The sequence below is a fragment of the Homo sapiens genome, chromosome 2 (assembly GCF_000001405.40).
Source record: "Homo sapiens chromosome 2, GRCh38.p14 Primary Assembly".
In the NCBI taxonomy this organism is placed as follows: domain Eukaryota; kingdom Metazoa; phylum Chordata; class Mammalia; order Primates; family Hominidae; genus Homo; species Homo sapiens.
In genome coordinates, this window is record NC_000002.12 from 114,412,392 (window position 1) to 114,420,699 (window position 8,308).

General features: G+C 38.6%; 1 pseudogene, besides 1 other annotated feature; it reads left to right on the forward strand.

The window, feature by feature from the left end:
• Window positions 904–1,404: an enhancer, noted in NCBI's record as "H3K4me1 hESC enhancer chr2:115170872-115171372 (GRCh37/hg19 assembly coordinates)". NCBI's record gives its function as "activates a minimal SCP1, AML or CMV promoter by ChIP-STARR-seq in primed H9 embryonic stem cells {active_cell/tissue: H9 hESC(primed)}" and the evidence as "EXISTENCE:reporter gene assay evidence [ECO:0000049][PMID:30033119]".
• RNU2-41P (RNA, U2 small nuclear 41, pseudogene) lies at window positions 7,734–7,911 on the forward strand (annotated as a pseudogene).

Consider the following 8,308-nt stretch of genomic DNA (forward strand, 5'->3'; position numbering starts at 1 on the left):
TCTCTGGCTGCCCTTAACATTTTTTCCTTCATTTTAACCTTGGTGAATCTGACAATTATGTGTCTTGAGGTTGCTCTTCTCAAGGAGTGTCTTTGTGGCATTCTCTGTATTTCGTGAATTTGAATGTTGGCCTGCCTTGCTAGGTTAGGGAAGTTCTCCTGGATAATATCCTGAAGAGTGTTGTCTAACTTGGTTCCATTCTCCGTGTCGCTTTCCAGTACACCAATCAAACTTATATTTGGTCTTTTCAAATAGTCCCATATTTCTTGGAGGCTTTGTTCATTTCTTTTCACCCTTTTTTCTCTAATCTTGTCTTCTCACTTTATTTCATTAATTTGGTCTTCAATCACTGATATCCTTTCTTCCACTTGATTGAATCAGCTATTGAAGGTTGTACATTTGTCATGAAGTTCTCATGCCTTGGTTTTCAGCTCCATTAGGTCATCTAAGGTCTTCTCTACACTATTTATTCTAGTTAGCCATTCATCTAACAGTTTTTCAAGGTTTTTAGCTTCCTTGTGATGGATTAGAACATGCTCCTTTAGCTTGGAGAACTTTGTTATTACCGACCTTCTGAAGCCTACTTCTGTCAACTCGTGAAACTCATTCTCCATCTAGTCTTGTTCCCTTGTTGGCGAGGAGCTGTGATCCTTTAGAGGAGAAGAGGTGCTCTGTTTTTGGGAATTTTCAGCTTTTCTGCTCTGGTTTCTCCCCATCTTTGTGGTTTTATCTACCTTTGGTCTTCGATGTTGGTGACCTACAGATGGGGTTTTGGTGTGGATGTCCTTCTTGTTGATGTTGATGCTATTCCTTTCTGTTTGTTAGTTTTCCTTCTAACAGTCAGATCCCTTAGCTACAGGTCTGTTGGGGTTTGCTGGAGGTCCACTCCTGACCCTGTTTGCCTGGGTATCACCAGGGGAGGCTGCAGAACAGCAAATCAGGCTGCAGAACAGCCTGATCCTTCCTCTGGAAACTTCGTACCAGAAGGGCATCTGCCTGTTTGAGTGTCTGTTGGCACCTACTGGGAGGTGTTTCCCAGTGAAGCTACACGGGGGTCAGGGACCTGCTTGAGGAGGCAGTCTGTCCTTTCTCGGAACTCAAACGCCATGCTGAAAGAACCATTGCTCTCTTCAGAGCTGTCAGACAGGGACATTTAAGTCTGCAGAAGCTGTCTGCTGCCTTTTGTTCTACTATGCCCTGCCCCCAGAGGTGGAATCTATAGAGGCATTAGGCTTTGCTGAGCTGCAGTGGGCTCTGCCCAGTTCCTGCTTCCCAGCCTCTTTGTTTATACTGTTGAGCTACTCAAGCCTCAGCAATGGTGGACAACCCCCGCCATCCAGCTGCAGCATCGCAGGTCGATCTCAGACTGCTGCGCTAGCAGTGAGCAAGGCTCCATGGTCGTGGGACTGGCTGAGCCAGGCACGGGAGGGTATCTCCTGGTCGGCCGGTTGCTAATACCGTGGGAATAGCGCAGTATTTGGTCAGGAGTGAACTGTTTCTGCAGATACAGTCTGTCATGGCTTCCCTTGGCTAGGAAAGGAAAATCCCCCAACCCCTTGAGCTTCCTGGGTGAGGCGACGCCCCTCCCTGCTTTGGCTTACCCTCCATGGGCTGCATCCACTGTCCAACCAGTCCCAATGAGATGAACCCAGTACCTCAGCTGGAAATGCAGAAATCACCCACCTTCTGCATCAATCTCACTGGGAGCTGCAGACCGGAGCTGTTCCTATTCAGCCATCTTGGAAGTGACTACCATGGTCTTCTTTATTGACTGTGGAACTTACCCTTAGAACAGTTTCTCAAATCATCTTTTGATTGATTGCATTTGTGCATCTGTTTGTAATTTTTATTTTTATTTATTTTTTATTTTTTTGAGATGGAGTCTCACTCAGGCCCTGTTGCCCAGGCTGGACTGCAGTGGCGCGATCTTGGCTTACTGCAAACTCTGCCTCCCAGATTCAAGCAAGTCTCCTACCTCAACCACCTAAGTAGCTGGGATTACAGGTGTGCACCACCATGCCCGGCTAACTTTTGTATTTTTAGTAGAGACAAGGTTTCACCACGTTGGCCAGGCTGGTCTCAAACTCCTGACCTCAAGTGATCCACCCACCTCGACCTCCAAAAATACTGGGATTACAGGCATGAGCCACTGCTCCCAGCTTGTTTGTGAATTTTTTTTAAAAGAGGGACTCTCAACCACTTTTAACTGAACTATTTTGTATTTGAGAATGCCAAACTGTTGCCTTTAAATTTGAGAAACATTGGTGACTATTTTTCCCCCAAAACTCAGAGCCTTTGCCTTCAAGTAAAAGATGGTTTCATTTTTCCTGTTACAGTGATTATATATATATATTTATTGATTTCCGGATGTTTTATGATTATTATCTCCTTAATTATATTCTCACAATAATTCTGCATGGACTATACTGTCTTTCCTATTTCATTGGTCAAGAAGTTGAAGGTAAGAGAGGTTAATAATTCATAAGGTCATACACATATAAGTAGTGAAGTCTTGATGTGTGCATAGGACCCCTTGTTTCCAGTGTCTTCCCTTTCTCTTCTCTGCCATATGTCTTCTCCTGGATGTAGAGAATCTGGGAATGAGGTAAAAATAAGGCTATGTGAGTTGTGGTCAGTTTGGGGGATCAGAAAGAAAAAGCTGATTTTTGCCTTCTAAATTCTATTACCAGACATGTAAGAAAATACTATTTCCAAGAATCCTGAAATCAAAAGTAAATAATGCCATTGAAATTAGAGAATATTTCTTAGCCCTATGCTCTACGGGAAGATTTCTTTTGAGGTTGACAGTTTCTTGGAATTCTGATGGCTGGGCATAATGCACTTTGCTCTGTCATGTTACTGTAAAAAATGTGTTCTGTTTAGGAAAATTAAAGGCATTACATCAAGATCCATAGTCTTATGTCAGCTCCATTATCTTGAATCATATTTAATAGCAACATGATATTTCTGGTTATGAACTCTCCTTTGGTTTGGTGTTTAAAGTGTGTCTTAAGCCTAATCAATTCTTGTGACTGTATGTTCTACAAAGTCAGGTTTCTTGAGTCAAATGGTGAAGCATTGAGCATCTAAGAGCAGAGTCTAGAATAGCTAGAATAATGATCACACACACACATGTGTGTGTGTATATATATATATATATATATAATCTGATAAGAATTAATGATTCATAGATCACAAATGGAATACATAACCCTGGTGATCATTTCATTACTTGTGGTCTCCAGAAAATGCAGAGAAGGGATGTTAAATTATATGATGTATGAAAACCAAAAGGATCTCTTTTGCACGGAAAACTCAAGTTGCAGGTTCTGCCTCTGAACTCTACACGTTCAGAAAGGGTGGCCTGGGTCTTCAGAGTGAGTTTGAAGGCAGCCTGACATGCCATGTCCCTACGGGACCTTCCACAGCACGCATCCTCTCTATTACTTCTTGGCACCTCATAAATTGGTGACATTAATTATTTAATTGATTAACTTCTTACTTATTAATCTCTACGAATAGAATTTTGCTTTAAAAGGGACCGGTATACCCTATATATTGTATAGTTCTTGGCACATATAGGCATTCAAAAATATTTGTAAAACATTATGTTTTCTGTAAGTCTTGTCTTCTGAACTAAGTTATAAACTACCAAAGAACAGAGTTTATAGTTGATACTCTGAATGGCCCATTGGACACAATAGTGCTGAGCTGAGAGCAGGATCTCAAGGGCAATTTGTTATACTGAGTTGAATTATACCATATGGAACTACCCACATGAAGGTCTGCCTTCCTGGCTTCTGGCTCTGTGCTTCCATAGTTCTTTGTACATGCTTCTTTTATAGCCTCTAATCAACCCTTTTTTAATTTTTTGTTCCTACATCTGACTGCCTCTCAATATTTTGTGCTAAGAGCATTTATATCTCCTTTCTTCGTTGATAATTTTGCACATTGCAAATGATGAATAAGAAAATGGAACTAACATTATATTAATTGGCTGCTATGTCAGGCATGCGGCTATACTATGGACTTTACAGATGTCAATTCAATTAATCCTCAAAATCCTATGAAGTTGGTAGTTTAATCTTCATTTAATAGTTAAAAAAACTGAAACTCAGGAGTTGCTTGCCCAACATCACGTATCTGGCAAGGATCAAAGCAGAGATGGGAGCCCAGTTTTTTTCAATTCTGAAGACTTTACTGACTCTTCTACTGCGCTAATCCGTTTTTGCATTAATTAATGAGTTAACAAATAGCAACAGCAGTGGTAGGTAGCAACTAAAGCTCTTGTGTTCATTAACAATGGAGCTGGAATACCCAATATGTTCTTACAAGGGAATCGTTTTCATTTCAAACTGATATCTCTAAGCAATACCCTTGGAATCATTTGTGTTGCCTCCCTTAGAATAGTCATGTTGCCTTTGAATAACAGGAGGTCCTTCTCCCATCTTGTTGAGGGAAGCTACATCTCAACAAGGTGGGAGAAGGACCTCCTGGAGTCACTGATGATAACGTTCTTTGGGAGGTTTAGTGAGAAGCTTCATTGCTGAGGGACAGGGGGTGTCATTAATTCTTGGGTTTTAGGAGTTTAAAGGAGGTATTATTCCAGAGAGGGATGGGGAAGAGTCAGACGTGAGGCTGTCCAGTGATGGGTGCTTTACAACAGCAGTCTTTAGACTTGGTCAGAGTTACTTGTGGACATACTTTTTAAAAAATCAGGTCCAGAACCTTAATTTTCATATTTCGTATTTACCTGAAATTTATCTCCCTGATAACTTGCTTGCATTTAAAACAGAGCTTTTTCTACTTTAAAAAAGAAAGATGTTTCTTCATCCATCTCAAATCTTACAAAAGTGCACATCCTCCCAGACATCTAAGGGGAAGGTTTCTTTCATAAGTAAGTTGCCATATATCCTCAGGGCTTTTAGTCTTTCATGCATTAAAAATGTGTTAAGGTTGATGTACTTGTCAGAAAGAGAGTATTTGGGTGCTGTATTGGGATTTCTGATTTCATATCTATGGTAGAGTAAGAGAGTGGACTAATGACAATATTCACTTAGTCATGTATCCTCTTTCACCCATCACCTATTGTCAAGTAATGCATTTCTGTTAAGGTAGTGTATTAGGCCTTTCTTGTATTCCCATAAAGAAATTCTTGAGAGTGGGTAATTTATAAAGAAAAGACATTTAATTGGCTCATGGTTCTGCTGGTTTTACAGGAAGCATGATGCTGGTATCTGCTTGGCTTCCAGTGAAGCCTCAGAGAGCTTTCAGTCATGCAGAGCTGAAGCAGGAGTAGGCACTTCACATGGCAAAAGCAGGAGCAAGCAAGAGAGAGTGGGAGAGATGTGCCCCCCCCGCCACCCAACTTTTAAATGACCAGATCTCATGAGAATTCACTATCACAAGGACGGTACCAAGCTGTGAAGTATTCACTCCCATGATCTAAATACCTCCCACCAGGCCCCACCCCCAGCATTGAAGATACAATTCAACATGAGATTTGGACAAATATCTAAACTACATCAGGCAGAGTCCTGTAAGAGTGAAGAAAAAGACTCAGTAAGAAACACTGAATATGAAAACTGGCTTTTTCCCCATTTTTTTCCCAGCTCTGGTTAATACTTATTTTTATGACCTCCATTGTGCTAAAAAGAAAAATATTTTCAAACAGCCAAAGAATTAGAGGTTCTTTTAAGGAATTTGGAAAGTGTTCTAGAATTATCAAAAAAAAAAGGTAGGTGATATTCAATTAAATCAACCAATTTAAAAAATTACATATGTTTTCATGTTGGTGTAATGTAAAAGCTCTGAAGCTTATTTTTGAAATCAAATTACAACATTTTCTTCCAATTGCAGGTAATCCTAATTTGGTTTAAATTTTCTACCTGCTATTGACAAGAGGTAAATTTATGTGCCAGGTGCCAGACCTATCAGTTTTTAGTAGTATATATCTTTCTTTATCATAAAGTATGCCTCAGACTAATCTATCTTTCATAATGTGATCTGCAATTTACTCAGTTTTTACAATATTCCTCTGAATACATATTAACATATTTTTGAGTTAAAAATTATAGTTGGTTTGTGGATTGGTTTGAAAATGAGGGCTGGCTTAGCCAACAAGGTTATATGTTAGTTTATCCAATATAGTTAGGATATATTAATTTATGCCCATGAAGTGACTGAGCCAAATCATCAGTGCCAAGGTTTATACAAAATATACTTAAAGCATTTGAAAAGATAAAATATTGCACCGAAGATATTGTTTGCAAGATATGTTGCAAATGGAATTTGCAACGTTTTAATATTCTCAAAACTTTCTAAGATTAGAAAGTTATTCAGGCACCTCTAAGTGAAAGAATAAAAGGCAAAAACAGCAAGTCTTGCTAAAATGAGGTAATCAAGAAAATGGCAGAGAAGCAAATCCTTTTGGTTCATCAGGTCATTTTTCATTTATTTCAGCAACAAGCAAGTAGGATACTGACATGTCCTCTTATAAGACAGTTAGATTAATTAGGAAAAGAAAAGAGAATTGGCTGTGTTTGCACTCTGAGTTAGCAGAGTACCAGGTATTCAGTTACAGAAACAGAGAGTTGAATTATCAGTGAATCCACTGGCTTCATGGAACAAATGGTTTCTAAATATTCAAATGTTTTGGTACCTGACAAATGCTTAAGCTAGTTTTTAAAAATCAACTTCAATCATTAATTTAAAAAATACCTTAAATGCTGCCTATACAGAGGTGTACCCGGCTCTGGCGAGGGGCATTGCACAAGTCAGACACAACCTCAGTCCTCAGCCACTTATCATTCAGTGGACAGTGTTCAACAATACACAGAAGAGTAAATAAATAAGCTGATATAAGACTGTGATATTCATCGTGAACACAATAATCCAAAGGAATGTGGTCAGCATTATCTGGTAAGGACAGCAGGATTGCCTTAGCATAGGCAGCCAGGGAAGTTAAAAACTGGGCTGAAGTGACCCAGTTTTTACTTCTGTTTCGTCTCTGTGACCTGAAGTGGCAGCCCCGTGAGAATCCCCAGGTGAAGGTAAGATGCAGAACGCCATGAGGTGAGGATGAACCTGGACTCTTAATTAGCCCTGCATCTCAGATTATAAGAATAATCTTCCATTTTAATGGGTCTTTACAACTGACATGGGCTTTATAGATGCTGAGATTTCTGAGTTCCATAGTTTGTCTTACGTGTTCATTCTGCAAGAAGTAGTATTTCTAGAATCTCTACTGTGCATAGACTCTCCAACTACAAGTTTTCCTTCCCTGTGGTCTGCTCTCAAAATTAGAGATAAAAAATACAACTTTTATTTTTGTGTAATCATCAGGTAATAGATGTCTATTGTGAACATGCTGGTGGAAAAATAAATACCAAAAAGGAAATAATTAAAGCTTATAAGAAAATAATACTGAAATATGCCAAATAATAACAAAATATAATAAAAAATATAAAAAGAAAAAGAAACACCAGATGGATTTCCCATTCTTGAAATGAACCACTATTAACAGTTGTGTGATTTTCTTTGTTTCTAATCTTCAAAACAAACATATACACCCATACAATTACACATATACATATAATGAACAGTGCATTTTTTCCCTTCAATTTCAGTTTAACATATAAATCTACTATCTCTCTATCTATCTATCTATCTATCTATCTATCTATCTATCTATCTGTGTATCAATCATCATTTATCTATTTATCTAACATCACATCACTTCTCAACCTTTTGGCTAAGAACAAGTGTAGTATCTGTTCTTATCAGTTTAATATCTATCTACCTACCTACCTACCTACCTATCATCAGATATAAAAGCGGAGAAGGTAATGGCTTACTTGGTGCCATTATAGGAACAACAGATGTCTTGGACTGCTTCTTTGATTAGGCCTAATATATTGACAATGTTACTTCTTTGTTTAGGTTAAGGCATTAAAAATTTATTCATAAAATAAATCAATCTATTCATAAATAGAAATAGTCTTTTTAGAAGGCATCACTTTAATGCATTATAAGTCACCCTGTCCTCACCTAGAATGATCTTTTTATATCAGTCAGCCGGCACAACCCTGTCAACATACTTCTGAGCATGTGACACAGACATTGGACACGAATATTATGGGACTAGAACAACTTAGGAAGTGTGTGAGCTATAAAGCCTTTATTTTTTTTCTTTCACCTCCCCTTCCTATTTCCCTAGAAAGATCTACCATTTCTTCCTTTTTGTCTCCACATATGTTTCTTTGATGGCACATATGTCTTATTATATTTATTTGAGTGGCAGAAGTAA